A 20,046-nucleotide genomic window follows, 5' to 3' on the forward strand; every position below is an offset into this window, starting at 1 on the left:
TTATACGGTTGTTGCAAGAAAAAGTGTTTCGTTGGAATGAATGAAAGACAGTAATTGTGGAGGGGTTAGGCGCGCGCGGGCCTCTGGAATTAGCATGTGTGGGCTTGAATCCTGACTTTGCCAACGCGTCCCGGAGCCTAAGTTTCCCACCTGTGAAATGGGGGACAGTATTGGTCATAACGCACAGGGCTGTTTCCCAAGGTGCGGGCCTGGCGCGCGGGTGGGTTAGAAGCGGAATTCTCCTGCTGGATTCTGGCGCAAACTGCGGGCTGGAGGCCCTCGCCGCCGGGTCGCAGCGGCCTAGCATGGGAGGGGAGGGGAGGGGCGGGGCGGGGCGGGGGAGGGGCCGCACCGGGATCCAGATGTTCGGGGTCCGCCAGGCACAGCCGCGCCTGATTAAGCCACGTGGGGGCCGGCCGGGGGCCGCTGAGATGAAAGCGCGGCCGCAGGCCAGAGTAGGGGGTGCGCCGGGCCCCCACCCGGGACACCCTCTTCCCAGGCCGAAACCTGAGCCGCCCTCTAACCCGCAGACCCTGCGAGGCTGCCGCCCCGTCTGCGGGGGCGGAGCGTAGGTGGGGGACCTGCGGGCTGCTGCGCGGCGCTGCAGGCACCTGCGCCAGGCATGCCAGCGAAAGCGGGGGCATCTTTGCAGAGGATCCGGGTTTAGAGGGGCGTCCCCACTCCCTTATCTGGCGGAGAGGAAGCTGGGGGTACCCTCTAACCGAGATTCGGCTCCTGGGGCTACAGTCCATCGCCCTGGGGTGTGATGGTTATGGAAGTCAGAAGTGTCGCTATTTGCCCCGTTTTCCCATGAGAATTAGACATGTCAGCATCACCCCCTCCCCTTGCTCCTGAGCATACCTCTGTGTCCCCTCCCACTAAGCCCCAGCCCAGGGGTCTCCAGCCTTGGGGAGACAGGGCCAGATTCCCTAGGTCAGTGGATCAGGGCTGGGCCAGAGGGAGGCGAGGCTGAAGGAGCAAGGGAGGGGCTCAGAGGGCTTCCCGGAGGAGGCAAACTGCGCGCAAGTTGTCTCCTTTCTAACCTGGGTGTCAAAAGAGAAGATGCCAGGACTCAGCTGCCGGGTCCTGCGGCTCTCACCTTCCTCCCTCTCCGTTCCCTGGTTGGACTCCAGCCCCATCGCCCTCCCTCCTCCTGCAACAAGCTCTTTCTCTCAGGATCCTCGCTGATCCTTGTAGCCTGGACACCCCTTTCTCCTCTCTCCCGCGTGGTCGGCTCACACGTCGCCTCCTCCGCCAAGCTCTCCGCTCTCCTCGACACCCCTGGGGAATAGTCCCCTCCATCCCATCCCCCTATATATTTCCTTTTGGCCCCAAGCGCCAGCAGAGATCCCCCGCCCGTGGGCACCAGGGAGGTGTCCTGGGACCCCCGCGATGGGATAGACGGTGGGGGCCGCGATGCACCTGCCCCGCCCGACCCGCACGCCTCGGGTGCCGCAGCGCAGCTACCCCGCCCGCTCTCCGCATCTCCCACCCCCCGCTTCCCAGGCTGCCTCGCTCGGGTGACGTCAGCGCCCCGGTCCCCGCCGCAGCCGCTGCATCCTCCGTGCCCGGCCTGAGCTGGAGTCCCCCGCGCCCCCCGCGTTCCGCCCGGCCATGGCTGCGGTGGCGCTGATGCCACCGCCGCTGCTGCTGCTGCTGCTGTTGGCGTCGCCGCCCGCCGCCTCCGCGCCGTCCGCCCGCGATCCCTTCGCCCCCCAGCTCGGGGACACGCAGAACTGCCAGCTGCGGTGCCGCGACCGCGACCTCGGCCCGCAGCCCTCGCAGGTGAGGCGCGTGCGGTGCCAGGTGCCAGCGGGGGACGCGGGATCTCTCCGAAGGAGGAGGCGTTGGGATGGGCTTCTCTTGGATGACAGCAGGAGACTTTGGTGGGGGTGTCCGTGGGGAGGTGGGGGTCGGGAATGGGGAGATCTCTCCAGTAGTTGACGGGCTGGGGTTCCCTCTGATGGGGGAGTGCTTGGGGATGCAGGTCCTTGCGATAAGGGGCCGATACCACCTCCCGGGCTCCTTCCGCACTCTGCTGGGTAAGGACCCTCTAGCACCCAACCCCCAGCTCCCTCAGGCCTGATGGTCCCCCCACCTCATTCCTCCTCCTCCACATCGTGTTCCCTCCCCACTCAGAGCTACCAGCCCCTACTCATACCACCACTCCCCAGGATTCAAGCCTGATCTGCGTGTGACCAAAACCCCCTCCTCTGAGCCTCCCCCTCCTCCTCCAGGTCTGAGAATCCTTCTCCATGTCTCCCCTCCTCCCTGGAACCTAGTGGGGGGAAGGCTCATTTCTCTCCACCTTCACTGTCCATTTCTCTTCTCAAGCTCCCTCCCCATCTCCCTCCTCAGAGCTAAGAGCCCCCACTAATATTTGTAGCCTCTCCCAACTTCATCTCCATCTGGCTAGATGTCGTGGGGAGCGGGGAAGCCTTTCCCTGCCTCTGCTGAATGCTCCGGTCCCCCCACCCTCCTCCTGCCCCTCCCCATGGCCTGAGCCCCCTGTCCTCCCCTCCCCCAGGCGGGGCTGGAGGGCGCCTCCGAGTCTCCCTATGACAGAGCCGTTCTGATCAGCGCTTGCGAGCGTGGCTGCCGCCTCTTCTCCATCTGCCGATTTGTGGCCAGAAGCTCCAAGCCCAATGCCACCCAAACTGAGTGTGAAGCAGGTGAGGGCCCGCCGGCAGGGTGGGCCAGCGTGGGGAGAGGTGGCCTGGGAAGGGCCGTCCCCAGTCACCCGCTCCCACCTCCCACAGCCTGCGTGGAAGCCTATGTGAAGGAGGCAGAGCAGCAGGCCTGTAGCCACGGCTGCTGGAGCCAGCCCGCGGAGCCTGAGCCGGAGCAGAAGGTGGGCCTCCCACTGCGGCCTGGGGTCCCTTTTCCCAATACCCCCACCCTCTTCACCCCGTGGGAAATCTTCATTCACGTGCAGAGGCTCTGCCAGACTCTGCGTTCTATACCAGGCCTGCAGGGCAACCTCCATCCAGCCCCGTCATGTCTCCAGCCTTAGTTACATGCAACAACGCCCCCCATGCCCCACCACCTTTTCAGGAATAAGTGGCAGAAAACAGCCATCATTTATCAAACATCTGTCCTGGTTCGGGCCTGACTTCAACCTGTCCCAAATGTTTTTGTGTCACTTGGAGGCACAAAGGACAATGTCACCCCCATTTAGTGCCCAGGGGGCAACCTCCCAGGTCATACACAGGGCTGTGCAAGGGGCGAGATTTGAAGCCACCAGAGCTGTGGCCACTCCTCACCTCACTCCTCTTAGGCGCCCCCAGAGCTGCCAGGTGCTGGTCTAAGCCCTTCCCCTGTGATGAGCTGGTGGTCACTGTCACCTGGAGGGGCTCAGAACTGCGGCTCAGGGTAGAGCAGGCTTGCCTCGCAAGCACGCACACACTGCCTTATGGGAGAAATAATAACGGTTCATCTATTGTAGTCCAAGCAATGCTGCATCATGGGGAAACTGAGGCACAGAAAATCATGTAGCATAGCCAGAGACCTAGGGGCTGGGACTCCCCAGAAAGCCCTTTCCCCACTTCCCCCATTTTCCTCCACCCCTTCCCAGCTTTCACTGCTGTTCAGAAAAGCTCACTGCACTGTCAGCCCTTCCAATTCAGAGCTCCCTCTTATTTATTTATTTATTTTTTGAGATGAAGTCTTGCTCTGTTGCCTAGCCTGGAGTGCAGTGGTACAATCTTGGCTCACTGCAGCCTCCGCCTCCCGGGTTCAAGTGGTTCTCCTGCCTCAGCCTCCTTTGTAGGTGAGATTACAGGCACCCCCCACTACAATCGGCTAATTTTTGTATTTTTAGGAGAGACAGGGTTTCATCATGTTGGCCAGGCTGATCTTGAACTCCTGACCTCAAGTGATCTTCCCACGTCGGCCTCCCAAAGTGCTGGGATTACAGGCATGAGCCACCATGGCCGGCCATCAGACCTCCGTCTTGACGCTGTCAAAATAAGAATAATGAGGATGATGATATTTTTAGTAATAGGGACTACTACGCATTAAGTGCCTGTGCCGTGCCAGGCACCTGGCAGGCATCCTCTAGTTGAAATTTCATGGCTACTCCATGAAGGAAGAGAACGATACCCATTTTAGGGCTCAGAGAGCACAATCCACTTCCCTAAGGGTACACAGGAAGCCAACTGCCACGCTGAGATCTGTGTTCACTATAAGAAGTCCTATTGGCCCAAATCACTTAGCCACATCCAATCCAAGTGAATTCTCCTAGCTCCTCTCCTGTTAGTTTATTTATTCATTTATTTATTTGAGATGGAGTCTCACTCTTTCACCCAGGCTAGAGTTCAGTGGTGTGATCTTGGCTCACTGCAACCTCTGCCTCCTGGGTTCAAGCAAATCTCCTGCCTCAGCCTCTGGAGTAGCTGAGATTCCAGGCGTGCGCCATCATGCCTGGCTAATTTTTGTATTTTTAGTAGAGACAGGGTTTCACGATGTTGTCCAGGCTGGTCTCAAACTTCTGGCCTCAAGTGATCGGCCTGCCTCAGCCTTCCAAAGTGTTGGGATTACAGGCGTGAGCCACCACATCCTGCCCCCTCCCATTCATTGGTTAATGCCCTATTTCGGTGCCATCTTTGTGTCTTGGACCTTTTTTCACCAGAGAAAGGTCCTGGAGGCTCCAAGTGGGGCCCTCTCCCTCTTGGACTTGTTTTCCACCCTCTGCAATGACCTTGTCAACTCAGCCCAGGGATTTGTCTCCTCCACCTGGACATACTACTTGCAGACTGACAATGGGAAAGTGGTGGTGTTTCAGGTGAGACCTCTGACAGGGGCCACGCCAGAGTGGCAGATGGGTGGGCAGGGTAAGAAGATGGGATGCATTGGCTCTTAGCTCATGAGATGCAAAGTCCACAGTGGGCGAGCTTCAGGCACAGCTGGATCCAGGGGCTCAGTGTCTCACTCCATGCCTTGACTCTGCTTTCTTTTGTGGTGGCTTCATTCCCAGGCATTTACTTCTTCTTGGCAGTAAGGTGGATGCCAGAGGCTCTAGGTTACAAACGCTGTGGTTTTTTTTTGTTGTTGTTGTTGTTGTTTTGAGATGGACTCCCATTCTTGTTGCCCAAGATGGAGTGCAATGGCATGATCTTAGCTCACTGCAACCTCCACCTCCCAGGTTCAAGTGATTCTCCTGCTTCAGCCTCCTGAGTAGCTGGGATTACAGGCGGCCACCACCACACCCACCTAATTTTTGTATTTTTAGTGGAGACGGGGTTTCGCCATGTTGGCCAGGCTGGTCTCGAACTCCTGACCTCAGGTGTTTCACCTGCCTCGGCCTCCCAAAGTGCTGGGATTACAGGCATGAGCCACTGCCCCGGCTCCCTCTGGGGTTTTAACTGAGCTGGGATTTACTCTGATTGGCCCTGGCTGGATCATATGACCATCTCTCAGGCAATTCACTGGCTTGGTCTGGATCATGTTCCTACTTCTGGAGCTAAAGGATGGGGTTAAGGCAAATGGAGGAGCCCATGAAAGCAGAAAACAACATCCCTGACATCAAGCCCACCCCTGATACCCAGGGGAACTGGGTATCAGCTGGGCGTGGGACATGGCAGTCACAGAGGGCCTGCCTGGGCCCAGGGGTGCTGTTCTCACAAGCCTCTCTGTGCTGTCTTGTTCCTGGCCCAGACTCAGCCCATAGTGGAGAGCCTCGGCTTCCAGGGGGGCCGTCTGCAGCGCGTGGAGGTGACCTGGCGAGGCTCCCACCCTGAAGCCCTGGAGGTGCACGTGGGTAAGGTGCAACCTAGACCAGTGTTCCTTCCATGGGTGGCCCCACTGCCACAAGGAGTCGGCCTGGCAAACAGACCTTCTAGGATCGGGATCTCCATCTCTCAAGTCCTGGGTTCCATGGCTCATCCCCCAGGTCTCCATGGTCTATTTCCCAGGGTTCCATGGTCCACCTCCCAGGGTTCCATGGTCCACTTCTCAGGGTTCCGTGGTCTACTTCCCAGGGTTCCGTGGTCCATCTCCCCGGGTTCCATGGTCTATTTACCAGGGATCCGTGGTCCACCTCTCAGGGTTCCGTGGCCCACCTCCCGGGTTCCGTGGCCACCTCCCAGGGTTCCGTGTTCCGCCTCCCAGCGTTCTGTGGTCCACCTCCCAGGGATCCATGGTTCACTTTCCAGGGTTCTGTGGCCCATCTCCCTGGGTTCTGTGGCCCATCTCCCAGGGTTCCATGGTTCATCTCTCAGAGTTCCATGGGTTCATCTCCTAGGGTCATCTCCTAGGGTCCATCTCCAAGGGTTCTTTGGTCCATCTCTCAGGGTTCCATGGTTCATCTCTTAGGATTCTGCAGTTCATCTCCCAGGGTTCTGTGGCCCATCCCCCAGGGTTCTGCAGTCCATCTCCCAGGGTTCCATGGTCCATTTCCCAGGGTTCCATGTTCCATCTCCCAGGGTTCCATGTTCCATCTCCCAGGGTTCCATGGGTTCATCTCCTAAGGGTCATCTCCTAGGATCCATCTCCCAGGGTTCCATGGGTTCATCTTCTAGGGTCATCTCCTAGGGTCCATCTCCTAGAGTTCTTTGGTCTATCTCTCAGGGTTCCATGGTTCATCTCCTAGGATTCTGCAGTTCACCCCCAGGGTTGCATGGTTCATCTCCTAGGATCCATCTCCCAGGGTTCCATGGTCCCTGTCTCAGCATTCTGTGGTCCATCTCCCAGGGCTCTGATCTCCATTCCAGGACTCTATGCCCCAGGTCCTGACCTCCTCCCTCCTGGTCATGGTTATTGTGGCCTCTTAGCAAAGACCTGGTGGTCGCTGAGTGGCAGCTGATCTCTCAGACCCTGTAGGCCCCCTGGACAAGGTGAGGAAGGCCAAGATCCGAGTCAAGACCAGCAGCAAGGCCAAGGTGGAGTCTGAAGAGCCACAGGACAATGACTTCCTCAGTTGCATGTCCCGGTGGGTGGCAGGACCTTGGGGGTGGGAGGGGGGTGGGACTGGAGGTACGGGTCTCCCTGGTCCCGGCCTGGGCAGCTGAGTGGTGCCTGCCGGGCGGGGCAGGCGCTCGGGTCTGCCTCGCTGGATCCTGGCCTGCTGCCTCTTCCTCTCCGTGCTGGTGATGCTGTGGCTGAGCTGCTCCACCCTGGTGACCGCGCCTGGCCAGCACCTCAAGTTCCAGGTGGGTGGGATCTGTGAATGGCGCTGGGCCGAGGGAGGGGGTGAAGGCAGAGAGAGCTGTTTGCTGGTCCTGGATTTGGCCACCTGCTCCCATGGAGGCCAGGACCTCAGACATTTTTTTCTTTTTTCATGTATATACATATATATACATATACGTGTGTGTGTGTGTGTGTGTGTGTGTGTATATATATATATATAATATATATATATATATTTTTTTTGAGATGGAGTCTTGCTCTGTCACCTGGGCTGGAGTGCAATGGCACCATCTCGGCTCACTGCAACCTCCACCTCCTGGGTTCAAGCAATTCTCCTGCCTCAGCCTCCGAAGTAGCTGGGACTATGGGCGCGGGCCACCACACCCAGCTAATTTTTGTATTTTTAGTAGAGACGGTGTTTCACCATGTTGGCCAGGCTGGTCTTGAACTCCTGACCTCAGGTGATCCATCCGCCTCTGCCTCCCAAAGTGCTGGGATTACAGGCGTGACCCACCGCGCCCGGCCTATATATATATTTTTGAGACAGGATCTCACTCTTTCACCCAGGATGGAGTGCAGTGGCATGATCACAGCTCACTGCAGCCTCGGCCTCCCTGGCTCAAGCAATCCTCCTGCCTCAGCCTCCTGAGTAGCTGGGACCACAGTCACGTGCCACCATGCCCCGCTAATTTTTGTATTTTTTGTAGAGATGGGGACTATGTTGCCCAGGCTGGTCTTGAACTCCTGGGCTCAAGTGATCCACCTGCCTTGCCCTCCCAGAATACCGGGATTACAGGCATGAGCCACCTCACCCAGCCAGGACCTCACACTTGCTGCATGACTTGGGCCAGTTTCTTCACTGCCCTTTGAATTGGTGGGAAGAAAATCCACTCTTAGTTGGGGCGACATGAAGTCAGAGGTGGCCACACTTCTGTGGTGTTGGCCTCACCTCTATCATGCCCAGGTGTGTTGGTGACACCTCTGTGGTGCCCAGAGCCTGGGCAACATAGTGAAACCTTGTCACTACAAATCATTTAAAAATTAGCTAGATGTGGCTGGGCATGGTGGCCCATGCCTGTAATCCCAGCACTTTGGGAGGCCGAGGTGGGCGGATCACGAGGTCAAGAGATTGAGACCATCCTGGCTAACAAGGTGAAACCCCATCTCTACTAAAAATACAAAAAATTAGCTGGGCGTGGTGGCAGGTGCCTGTAGTCCCAGCTACTCGGGAGGCTGAGGCAGGAGAATGGCGTGAACCCAGGAGGAGGAGCTTGCAGTGAGCCGAGATCGCGCCACTGCACTCCAGCCTGGGTGACAGAGCGAGACTCCATCTCAAAAAAAAAAAAAAGAAAAAAAAAATTAGCTAGACGTGGAGGTGCATGTTTATGATCCCAGCTACTTAGGAAGCTGAGGTGGGAGGATCACTTGAGCCTGAGAGTTCGAAGCTGCAGTGAGCTGTGATGGCACCACTATACTCCAGCCTGGACAACAGAGAAGACCCCATCACACACACACACACACACACACACACACACACACACACACACACACAAAAGTCCAGGTGTGGTGGCTCACACCTGTAATTCCAGCACTTTGGGAGGCTGAGGTGGGCAGATCACTTCAGGAGTTCGAGACCAGCCTAGCCAACATAGTGAAACCCCATATCTACTAATAATACAAAAATTAGCTGGGCGTGGTGGCGTGCACCTGTAGTCCCAGCTACTTGGGAGGCTGAGAAAGGAGAATCGCTTGAACCTAGGAGGCGGAGGTTGCAGTGAGCTGAGATGGCGCCACTGCACTCCAGCCTGGGTGACAGAGAGAGACTCTCTCAAAAAAAGAAAAAAAATAAAACAATCAGAGGTGGGAAGGAGACAGTCAGGGTTGGGGGCTCGGCCTCTCCCCGTCCCTCCACTTCCCTCCTCCCCTCTCTTCCTGCAGCCTCTGACCCTGGAGCAGCACAAGGGCTTCATGATGGAGCCCGATTGGCCCCTGTACCCGCCGCCGTCCCACGCCTGTGAGGACAGCCTACCACCCTACAAGCTGAAGCTGGACCTGACCAAGCTGTAGGCCTCCACTGGCCCCATCACTGCCAACTGCAGGGGGCCCCTCGGGCCTCACTTGCCCTGAGCCCAGGAGTCCAAGGGCAGGGTGGGTCCAGCCTTGAGCCCCTCCACCCCCAAATCCTTCCTCTCCTCCCAGTCCCACCCCTTGCCCCACGGAGTCCTGGGGACGCAGTGCCCCAGCTGGGAAGAGGGCGGGATCGGGCACTGGTTCCTCCTTGTCCCCGCTTTCTTGGGGGCTTGCTACTTTTTGTCTTCTATTGTGTGGCTTTCTGAGTATTTGAACCCCAGTCCTGTGTCACCTTCCTTTTTCCTTCTATGTCCCCTCTCTGCGGGGGGGGCGCTGAGGCTGAGGGGGAGCTGCGTCTTGCTAGGGCTTCCCCCTTCTCCCCATCCCGGTCTCCAGAGACCCAGCTTCTGAGAGACAGGGTGTGGGCATCTCCATGCCCCTATAAAGCGTGCCTGGGGCTTGTCTGGGGCTGGGGAGGAATAAACCATGTATATAAAAGAGTTTCAGGCTGAGCCTGCTTCTGTTCGGTTGTCTGTCTGCCCTTGGGGTGTGGCCCACGCATGGCTATGACCCCTGCCGAGCAGGATCTTTCTGACATGGGAAAGCCCTGGAAACCCAGGTGGCACCAGGCACTGAAAGTAGCTGCCTCTCAGAAGGACACTCCCTCTGGTCTAACCCAGGTCACACTCCCAGCTACAGATGTCCCTGGAAAACTGACTCGAGGCCAGGCGCAGCAGCTCATGCCTGTAATCCCAGCACTTTAGGAGACTGAGGCAGGAGATTCACTGGAGCCCAGAAGTTCCAGACCGGCCTGGGGCAACATAGCAAGGCCCCATCTCTACAAAATACACACACACACACACACACACACACACACACACATATATATATATAATTAACTGGGTGTGGTGGCTTGAGCCTGTGGTCCCAGCTACTCGGGAGGCTGAGGTGGGAGGATTGCTTGAGGCGGGGAGGTGGAGGCTGCAGTGAGCTATGATTGCACCACTGAACTCCAGCCTGGGTGACAGAGCATGACTCTGTCTCAAAAAAAAAAAAAAAAAAAAGTGGCTTGTGCCACCCATCTGACTGGGGCAGTTCAGCGTCCCTTCCTGTGCCTGATGTCCCTGTTATGAAGGGACAAATTGCATCTTGAAGAGGACTTGATTTTGTAGCCACCTGGCTTCCGGTCTACTTTTTCTTTTTCTTTTTTGAGACAGAGTCTCGCTCTGTCGCCCAGGCTGGAGTGCAGTGGTGCGGTCTCAGCTCACTGCAAACTCCGCCTCCCAGGTTCCAGTGATTCTCTTGCCTCAGCCTCCAAGTAGGTGGGATTATAGGCGCGTGCCACCATGCGCGGCTACTTTTTGTATTTTCAGTAGAGACGCAGTTTCACCATGTTGGCCAGGCTGGTCTTGAACTCCTGACCTTAAATAATCTGCCCACCTCAGCCTCCCAAAGTGCTGGGATTACAGGCATGAGCCTCTGCACCCAGCCAGCTTTATTTATTTATTTTTTAAAAAATGAGATAGGCTCGGCCGGGCACAGTGGCTCATGCCTGTAATCCTAGCACTTTGGGAGGCCGAGGCGGGCAGATCACGAGGTCAGGAGATTGAGACCATTCTGGGTAACATGGTGAAACCCTGTCTCTACTAAAAATACAAAAAAAAATTAGCTGGGCATGGTGGTGGGCGCCTGTAGTCCCAGCTACTCAGGAGGCTAAGGCAGGAGAACGGCGTGAACCTGGGAGGCAAAGCTTGCAGTGAGCAGAGATCACGCCACTGCCCTGCAGCCTGGGCGACAGAGCGAGACTCTGTCTCAAAAACAAAACAAAACAAAACAAAAAATGAGACAGGGTCTTACGCTGTCACCGAGGCTGGAGTGCAGTGGTGTGATCACAGCTCACTGCAGCCTCCACCTCCCAGGCTCAAGCCATCCTCCCATCTCAGCCTCTTGACTGCAGGAAGGGAGCCACGCCCTTCCGTTCCTGTCTGTTCTGCAGACTCCTCCAGATTCTTCTTGTAACTCCGCTTTGAGATTCAGTTGACTTGAGTTGGTTTCTGTTGCTCGAAACCAGAGATTCCTGACTGATACAGGGCCTCATCCCCTGGGCAGAGCTCAGGATCAGGAGCATGATGGCCCCAGCCTACAGGCAATGGGGTGGAGAGTCCCAGGAATTCCAGGCTGATGGAGTGACAGTGGGTCTGCAGGTTGGGGCAGAAAATTAAATGATGCCTCCTGGGGCTGTGTGTAAGACTCTCCACCCTTCACTCTACCCTGGATCCTGGAAGGTTGATCCACTTGGACCCTCTTCTTTCCACTGGAGTCAGTCAGAGGGACCACTGGCAGGAGATGAGAGGAGGGAGGAGTCAAGGTCTTTCCTGGTGTCCTTCCCAGCATCCCCTGACTCAAGACCACAACTCGACCAAGCAGCCTCCCCTGGAGATCTTCAAGAGCTCTGGAGGGGCGGGGCGCAGTGACTCATGCCTGTAATCCCAGTACTTTAGGAGGCAGAGGAGGGTGGATCAACTGAAGTCAGGGGTTCAAGACCAGCCTGGCCAACGTGGCGAAATTCCCGTCTCTACAAAAATACAAAAATTAGCTAGGCATGGTGGCGCACTCCTATAATCCCAGCTACTCGGGAGGCTGAGGCAGGAGAATCACTTGAACCCTGGAGGCAGAGGTTGCAGTGAGCCAAGACTGCACCATTGCACTCCAGCCTGGACAACAAGGGCGAAACTCTGTCTCAAAAAAAAAAAAAAAAAAGAAAAAAAAGGGCCCCTTGGCCGGGTGTGGTGGCTCATGCCTGTAATCCCAGGACTTTGGAAGTCTGAGGCGGGAGGATCACTTGAGTGTAGGAGTTTGAGACAAATCTGGGGAATATAGCAAGATTCATCTCTACAAGAAATTTAAAAATTTAGCCAGACCTGGTGGTGGGCACCAGTAATCTCAGCTGCTGAGCTGAAGCTGAGGTGGAGGGATCACTTGAGCCCAGGAAGACAAGGCTGCAGTGAGCCATGATTGCACTAATGCACTCCAGCGTGGCTGAGAAGAGTGAGACCATTTCCAAAAAAATAAATAGATAAATCAAAATAAAAGGCTGGGCTCGGTGGCTCATGCTTGTAATCCCAGCAATTTGGGAGGGTGAGGCGGAAGGATTACTTGATGCCAGGAGCTTGAGACCAGCCTGGCCAACATGGTGAAACCCCGTTCCTACTAAAAATACAAAAAATTAGCTGGGCGTGGTGGCCCATGTCTGTAATCCCGGATATTTGGGAGGCTAAGGCATGAGAATCCTTCAACCTGGGAGGCGGAGGTTGGAGTGAGCCGAGATCATGCTACTACACTGCAGCCTGGGCGAAAGAGTGAGGCACTGTCTCAAATAATAGCAATAATAGCCCGGGCACGGTAGCTCCCACCTGTAATCCCAGCACTTTGGGAAGCTGAGGCGGGTGGATTGCCTGAGCTCAGGAGTTCACAACCAACCTGGGCAACATGGTGAAACCCTGTCTCTACTGAAATACAAAAAATTTGCCAGGCGTGGCAGTGTGTGCCTGTAGACCCAGCTACTTACTCAGGAGGCTGAGGCAGGAGAATTGCTTGAACCCAGGAGGCAAAGGTTGCAGTGAGCTGGGATCATGCACTGCACTCCTGCCTGGGAGACAGAGCAAGACTCTGTCTCAAATAAATAAATACAATAATAATAATTGTTCCTTTAGGCCAGGCAGGGTGGCTCACATCTGTAATCCCAGCTCTTCGATAGGCCCAGGTGGGAGGATCGCTTGAGCCCAGGAGTTCAATGTTACAGTGAGTTATGATCATGCCTAGGTGACAGAGTGGGACTGTGGTTCAAAAAATACATGTATAGCCCATTTATGTATGTATGTATGTATGTATGTATGTATGTATGTATGTATGTATGTATTTTGAGACGGAGTCTCGCTCTGTTGCCCAGGCTGGAGTGCAGTGGTACGATCTTGGCTCACTGCAACCTCCATCCCCTCGGTTCAAGTGATTCTTCGACCTCAGCCTACTGAGTAGCTGGGATTACAGGTGCATACCACCACGCCCGGCTAATTTTTGTATTTTTATTAGAGCCAGGCTTTCACCATGTTGGCCAGGCTGGTCTTGAACTCCTGACTTCAGGTAATCCGTTAGCCTCGGCCTCCCAACCACTTTATTTATTAATCTATTTTGAGACAGAGTCCCACTTTGTCGCTTAGGCTGGAGTGCAGTGGCGAGATCTGGGCTCACTGCAACGTCTACCTCCCAGGTTTAAGTGATTCTCCTGCCTCAGCCTCCCAAGTAGCTGGGATTACAGGTGCAAGCCACCATACCTGGCTAATTTTTGTATTTTTACTAGAGACGGGGTTTTGCCATGTTGGCCAGGCCGGTCTCGAACTCCTGACCTCAAGTGATCCGCCTGGTACCATGACCATCAGGATTCAACCCAGATGTAATATGGGCCCCAGGGAGTATCATTCTGGGCCCTGTGTGGGGTTTCAGGAAAACCTCTAGGAATGTTGCCCAGAAATAAGACATGGGCAGAGGTGAGAAGAGAATGACAGCCAGCCGTTCTCTTTGGTAGAACTTTCTTTGATGATAGAAACGTTATGTCTGCACTACTCCCAGCCACCTGGAAGTTACTGAGCACTTCCAACATGGCTAGTGTAACTGACAAATTGTGTTTCTTATTTTGTTTAGTTTGAGTTGATGTACATGTAAGATTTTTCCGGCTGGGCACGGTGGTTCACAGCTATAATCCCAGCACTTTGGGAGGCTGAGGCAGGAGGATCACTTGAGCCCAAGAGTTCAAGACCAGCCTGGGCAACATGGTGAGGCACCTGTCTTCTTTTTTTGAGACTGAGTCTCACACTGTCGCCCAGGCTGGTGGGCAGTGGCGCGATCTCAGCTCACACCAACCTTCGCTTCCCAGGTTCAAGCGATTCTCTTGCCTCAGCCTTCCGAGTAGCTGGGAGCTGGGATTACAGTCACTTGCCACCACGCCCAGCTAATTTTTGTATTGTTTTATTAGAGATGGGGTTCCGCCATGTTGACTAGGCTGGTCTTGAACTCCTGACATCCGGTGATCTGCCCACCTCGGCCTCCCAAAGTGCTGGGATTACAGCGTGAGCCACTGCACCCAGCTGAGGCACCCGTCTTTATTTAAAAAAAAAAAAGAAATTGACCAGTTGTGGGGGCATGTGCCTCTAGTCCCAGCTACTAAGGTGGCTGAGGTGGGAGGATTGCTTGAGACTAGGAGTTTGACACTAGCTCGGGCAACATAGCAAGACCCTTTCTCTAAAACAATTTTTTAGGCCAGATGCAGGCAACAAAGTGAAGCCCTGTCTCTACAAAAAATATACGTATATACAAAATTAGCCAGGTATTATGGCGGCTGCCTGTAGTCCCAGCTACTCCCAGATACTTGGAAGGTTAAGGAGGAAGGATTGCTTGAGCCTGGGGAGGTTGAGGCTGCAGTGAGCTGTGACTGCACCACCGCATACCAGCCTGGGTGACAGAGTAAGATCCTGTCTCTGACATGACATCATGCCTGGCTAATTTTTTAATTTTTTTTTGAGACAGAGTCTCTCTGTTGCCCAGGCTGGAGTGCAGTGGCACGATCTCGGCTCACTGCAACCTCTGCCTCCTGGTGTCAAGCAATTCTTCTGTCCCAGCCTCCCGAGTATCTGGGATTACACCACGCCAGGCTAATTTTTGTATTTTGTTAGTAGACATGGGATTCTGCCATGTTGGCTAGGCTGGTCTTGAACTCCTGAACTCAGGTGATCCACTAGCCTTAGCCTCCCAAAGTGCTGGGATTACAGGCGTGAGCCACCATGTCCAGCCTATTTTTTGATTTTTTATAGAGATGAGGACTCATTATGTCGCTCAGGCTGGTCTTGCACTCCTGGACTTAAGTGATCTTCCTGCCTCGGTCTCCCAAAGTGCTGGGATTACAGGCGTGAGCCACCATGCCTGGTCAAAATTTGCCATTTTCATGAGTTTTGAGTGCATTAATTGCATCCACAATGTTGTGCAGCCATACCTGCCATGGATTTTTTTTAAATTGTTATTGTTTTTGAGACAGAGTCTTGCTCTGTTGCCCAGGCTGGAGTGCAGTGGTGCAATCTTGGCTCACTGCAACCTCCGCCTCCCAGGTTCCGGTGATTCTCCTGCCTCAGCCTCCCAGGTAGCTGAGATTACAGACATCCACCACCACACCGGGCTAATTTTTGTATTTTTAGTAGACGGGGTTTCACCCTGTTGGCCAAGCTGCTGTTGAACTCCTGACCTCTCTCAGCCTTCCAAAGTGCTGGGATTACAGGCATGAGCCACTGCGGCCGGCCCTGCTGTGGATTTAAATGGCTACTGTCACTGGTCAGCCCAGTTTGAAAGGGACTTCATATGGACTCACTCTGTCTCCTTGCCTGGCCCCCAGTTTCTCTTCTTAGTGGCTCTAGACATCTGGGCTGCATCTTGATTCTTAACTGTCCTCACCTCACTTCATTCCATCAGCACAGCTTGTCCCCTAGGCCTCCAAAGCATACCTCCAGCCCACAAGCATCTCTTTGTCTCCATGGCAACCACCGAAGTCCAAGCTGCCACTGCCTCTCACTCAGCAATGGTGCCCACCTCCTCCTCTTGGGGCTTCCGGCCTCTCCAGTTGCCCTCTGGTTCCATCTTGGATAAAGCAAATCTGACCCCAGACTCCACACCTTTCTGGGGTTTACTGTTGTCTTGAGGAGCCCAAACATTCCCAGACAGCAGAGATTCCCACGATCGGGTCTCACTAACACTAACCTAACATCTCCAAGCGCTTTTTTTTTTTTCTGAGATGGAGTTTCACTCTGTCGCCCAGGCTAGAGTGCAGTGGCGTGATCTCCGCTCACTGCAAGCTCTGCCTCCTGGGTTCACGCCATTCTCCTGCCTCAGCCTCCCGAGTAGCTGGGACTACAGGCGCCCGCCACCACGCCCGGCTAATTTTTTTTTGTATTTTTAGTAGAGACAGGGTTTCACTGTGTTCACCAGGATGGTCTCGATCTCCTGACTTTGTGATCCACCCACCTCGGCCTCCCAAAGTGCTGGGATTACAGGTGTGAGCCACTGCACCCGGCCATCACCAAGCGCTTCTGTGAGGCTCTGCCCCTCACTCCCTCTGCTCTGGCGGCTGCGTGAGGTTCTCTCTGGATTTCTTGAGCCTACCTTGTTCCTTCCAGCCCCAGGGCCTTTGCACATGCAGTCCCCTCTGCCAGGAGCACACTCCTGGTCCTGCTTCACCAAGTTCTCAGCCACGTCAGCATCCCCTGGGATCCCCATGTTTCACTTCCTGTCCATCTTCCCTGCTCTGATGACATTCGTCGTTGATTAAAAATTATTTGTTGGCTGAGGGCAGTGGCACATGCCTGTAATTCCAGCACTTTAGGAGGCTGAGGTGGGCAGATCACCTGAGGTCAGGAGTTAGAGACTAGCCTGGCCAACATGGTGAAACCCTGTCTCTACTAAAAATACAAAAATTAGCCAGGCATGGTGGCACGTGCCTGTAGTCTCAGCTACTCGGGAGGCTGAGGCAGGAGAATCTCTTGAACCCGGTAGGCAGAGGTTGCAGTGAGCCGAGATCATGCCACTGCAGTCCAGCCTGGGCAACAGAGCAAGACTCTGTCTTAAAATAAATACATAAATAAAAATAAAAATAATGGAGGCCAGGCATGGTGGCTCACACCTATAGTCCCAGCTCTCTGGGAGGCTGAGGCAGGTGGATGGCTTGAGGTCAGGAGTTCGAGACCAGCCTGGCCAACATGACGAAATCCTGTCTCTACTAAAAATACAAAAATTACCTGCGTGTGGTGGCTCAGGCCTGTAATCCCAGCTACTCAGGAGGTTGAGGGGGGATAACCTAATTCTCCTGCTCACCTATGAAGAGCTTTTGATCTTTGCCAGCCTGGCAGCCACCTCTCCTGTGCCATCCCTCCTGCCTTTTGGTCTTGGAGACCAAAATGCGCTTGTCCTCATTTTGAATCAATGGTCTGGCCTTGGGGCCTTTTCTGCAGCTTCCCTTTGCTTTGCAATGCTGTTACGGACTTGGTAGGCATCTACCCAGCACCTGCAGTCTTCCTTCTTCCTTCGTTTTATTTGTTTGATTTTTGTTGTTTCATCTGTCGTCCAGGCTGGAGTGCAGTGGCGCAATCTTGGCTCACCACAACCTCCGCCTGTCGGATTCAAGTGATTCTTCTGCCTCAGCCTCCCAAGTAGCTGGAATTACAGGTGTCCACCACCACGCCCGGCTAATTTTTTGTATTTTTAGTAGAGACAAGGTTTCACCATGTTGGCCAGGCTAGTCTTAAACTCCTGACTTCATGATCTATCCACCTCAGCCTCCCAAAGTGCTGGGATTACAGGCGTGAGCCACTGTGCTCAGCCTATTTACTTCTTTATGGGTTCATCTTCTGCCTCCTACATCACTCAAGACTGGGCTCACTGGGAGGGCAGGGCTGCATCGGCTGTGACCCCAGTACCCATCAACGCAGGTCACAGAGGAATGACCCAACAAGGGTGTCTGGGATGGCTGGGAAAGAACCCCGCTTGCCATGCAGAGGCCTTGGGGCTGCTCTGCCCAGTAACCAACCCCTTACCCTATCCTGACTCTCAGGAGAGAAAGGCCTCTTTGACCACGTAGCTGAAGACCAGACTCACCACAGCTCTGTCTCTGAGCTTCAATTTCCTCTTCTGTCCTAGAGCCCTGCCCCTCCCTCCATTTTCATCCTGAGCTGCACACAGACCTGGTAGTGGGTGGGTGGGTGGCTGGCGTCATGGCAACGGTAGCACAGGGTTGCCACAGCAACTTGGTTCCCTAGTGACAGGCCTGAGTTTCTTAGCCCAGGGGTGGCAATCCGCCAGGAAGAAATGGGGAGAGGGTGTCCCCAGCATCCAGCTGGCACACAGGGGACATTCTGTAAACACTTGGAGGGCAGGATGGGGATGCATGGTGGCTGTCTTTTCCTGGGGTGCGAAGAGGAGACTTCAGGTCCCTGTTGGGCTCCATGCAGCTCCTGGCACACTCTCCCTCCTCAGGGCCCCCATGCAGGCTGTTCCCTCCGCCTGGAGGCTGTTCCCTCTTCGCTCCGTCTGGCCAGCTCTTCAGCCTGACCTCCTGGCTCAGCCCCAGCTTTTATCATGGTGACAATTAAGTGATGGCTTGTTTGCTTGTGTGATGATTGGTTTAATAAATGTTCCCTCTGCCAGATGCTATGCGCTAGGCGTCTCGGTCACAGCTGTGTCCCACACACCAAGGAGGCTGCTCTCAATACATCTTTGTCGACACTCTCCATCCTTGCTCCGCCTTGCCCACTTCTTCCAAGCCAGTGCGGCCTCATCTCTATCCCTTGAGCTTTTTCTGGCACTGGGCTTAGGTCCTTCATATTATGTCCTCTCAGAATATACGGGAACATTGCACAATGTTCTGGAATGTCCTGGAACATTCTAGAACATTCTGTCCCCTTCTTTTACTGAAGCTGGGACATCATCACCTCTTCAGGGAGGCTCTCCCTGATCTTCTGGCTGAAGCAGTGCTCCCCTACCCAACACACACTTGATCGCTCTCAGCTCATTGCCTTCAAGGCAGTTATTGCCATCTGAAATGGCCTTGGTCATTGATCAATTATATATCTCAGATTTGTCTTTCCCATCAGAATGTACCTTTCAGAATATCTTGGAACATGAGGTCAAGGATCTTGTCGGATGGGCTGACAGTTGAATCCCCAGCAGCCTCTCAGCACCCTAGTCCCCACAGTGGTGGGTCCCAGTTGGTCGCCCCCCAGAGGTAGTCCTAGTTCTTATCACATTGGGTGGATTTGACCTTTTCTTTTTTTTTCTATTGGGATGGGATCCCTCTATGTTGCCACGGCTGGTCTTAAACTCCTGGACTCAAGTGATCCTCCTGCCTCGGCCTCCCAAAGTGCTGGGATTACAGTCTTGAGCCACCGCAACTGGCCTGATTTTGTTTTAGTAAATCAGCTTTTTTTTTTTTTTTTTTTTTTTGAGGCAGAGTCTCACTCTGTCACCCAGGCTGGAGTGCAATGGCTTGGCTCACTGCAAGCTCCGCCTCCTGGGTTCACACCATTCTCCTGCCTCAGCCTCCCAAGTAGCTGGGACTACAGGTGCCCGCCACTACACCCGGCTAATTTTTTGTATTTTTAGTAGAGACGGGGTTTCACCGTGTTAGTCAGGATGGTCTCGATCTCCTGACCTTGTGATCCACACACCTTGGCCTCCCAAAGTGCTGGGATTACAGGCGTGAGCCACCGCGCCCAGCCTTAGTAAACCAGCTTTAATAAGACATAATTTACATCCAATGGCACATCCATGTTAAATGCCCAGTTCAATGAGTTTTGGCAAATGTAATCCTCCTAAGATACCCCTATAATCAAGATATACACTAGGTATGGTGGCTCACACCTGTGATCCCAGCACTTTGGGAGGCTGAAGTGGGAGAATCACTTGAGGCCTGGAGTTCAAGACCAGCCTGAACAATATAGTGAGACTCTGTCTCTACCAAATTTTTTTTACAAAATTAGCCAGGTGTACTGGCATACACCTGTGGTCCCAGCTACTCTGGAGGCTGAGGTACGAGGCTCATTTGACCCAGGAGGTTGAGGCTGCAGTGAGCTATGATTGCGCCACTGCATTTCAGCCTGGGCGACAGAGTGAGACCTTATCTCTAAAAATATAAATAAATAAATAAAAGGGCCCGGCGTGGTGGCTCATGCTTGTAATCCCAGCACTTTAGGAGGCTGAGGTGGACAGATTGCTTGAGCTCAGAAGCTCAAGACCAGCCTGGGCAACATGGTGAAACCTCAA

General features: G+C 54.4%; 1 protein-coding gene across 1 annotated transcript, besides 2 other annotated features; it reads left to right on the forward strand.

Annotated features, from left to right (window-relative positions):
- On the forward strand, positions 1,526–9,695 carry TMEM59L (transmembrane protein 59 like). The gene is made up of 8 exons (NM_012109.3): positions 1,526–1,785; positions 2,528–2,672; positions 2,760–2,851; positions 4,631–4,783; positions 5,656–5,758; positions 6,811–6,928; positions 7,031–7,148; positions 9,064–9,695. Exons 1-8 carry the CDS (start codon positions 1,615–1,617, stop codon positions 9,190–9,192), a joined length of 1,029 nt encoding a protein of 342 aa, NP_036241.1. The 5' UTR covers positions 1,526–1,614; the 3' UTR covers positions 9,193–9,695.
- Positions 2,719–3,239: an enhancer, noted in NCBI's record as "H3K27ac-H3K4me1 hESC enhancer chr19:18724873-18725393 (GRCh37/hg19 assembly coordinates)". NCBI's record gives its function as "activates a minimal SCP1, AML or CMV promoter by ChIP-STARR-seq in naive H9 embryonic stem cells {active_cell/tissue: H9 hESC(naive)}" and the evidence as "EXISTENCE:reporter gene assay evidence [ECO:0000049][PMID:30033119]".
- Positions 10,294–10,363: an enhancer, noted in NCBI's record as "active region_14329". NCBI's record gives its function as "activates an Ori minimal core promoter by ATAC-STARR-seq in GM12878 lymphoblastoid cells {active_cell/tissue: GM12878}" and the evidence as "EXISTENCE:reporter gene assay evidence [ECO:0000049][PMID:35858748]".

Source organism: Homo sapiens, chromosome 19, assembly GCF_000001405.40.
Source record: "Homo sapiens chromosome 19, GRCh38.p14 Primary Assembly".
Classification (NCBI taxonomy): domain Eukaryota; kingdom Metazoa; phylum Chordata; class Mammalia; order Primates; family Hominidae; genus Homo; species Homo sapiens.

Bases quoted from the DNA above. Each gene is read 5' to 3' on its own strand.
- TMEM59L (NM_012109.3), top strand. From the start codon at position 1,615: ATGGCTGCGGTGGCGCTGATGCCACCGCCGCTGCTGCTGCTGCTGCTG. The intron at 1,786-2,527 runs GTGAGGCGCGTG...CCCCTCCCCCAG, and splicing joins TCGGCCCGCAGCCCTCGCAG to GCGGGGCTGGAGGGCGCCTC. The intron at 2,673-2,759 runs GTGAGGGCCCGC...CACCTCCCACAG, and splicing joins CCAAACTGAGTGTGAAGCAG to CCTGCGTGGAAGCCTATGTG.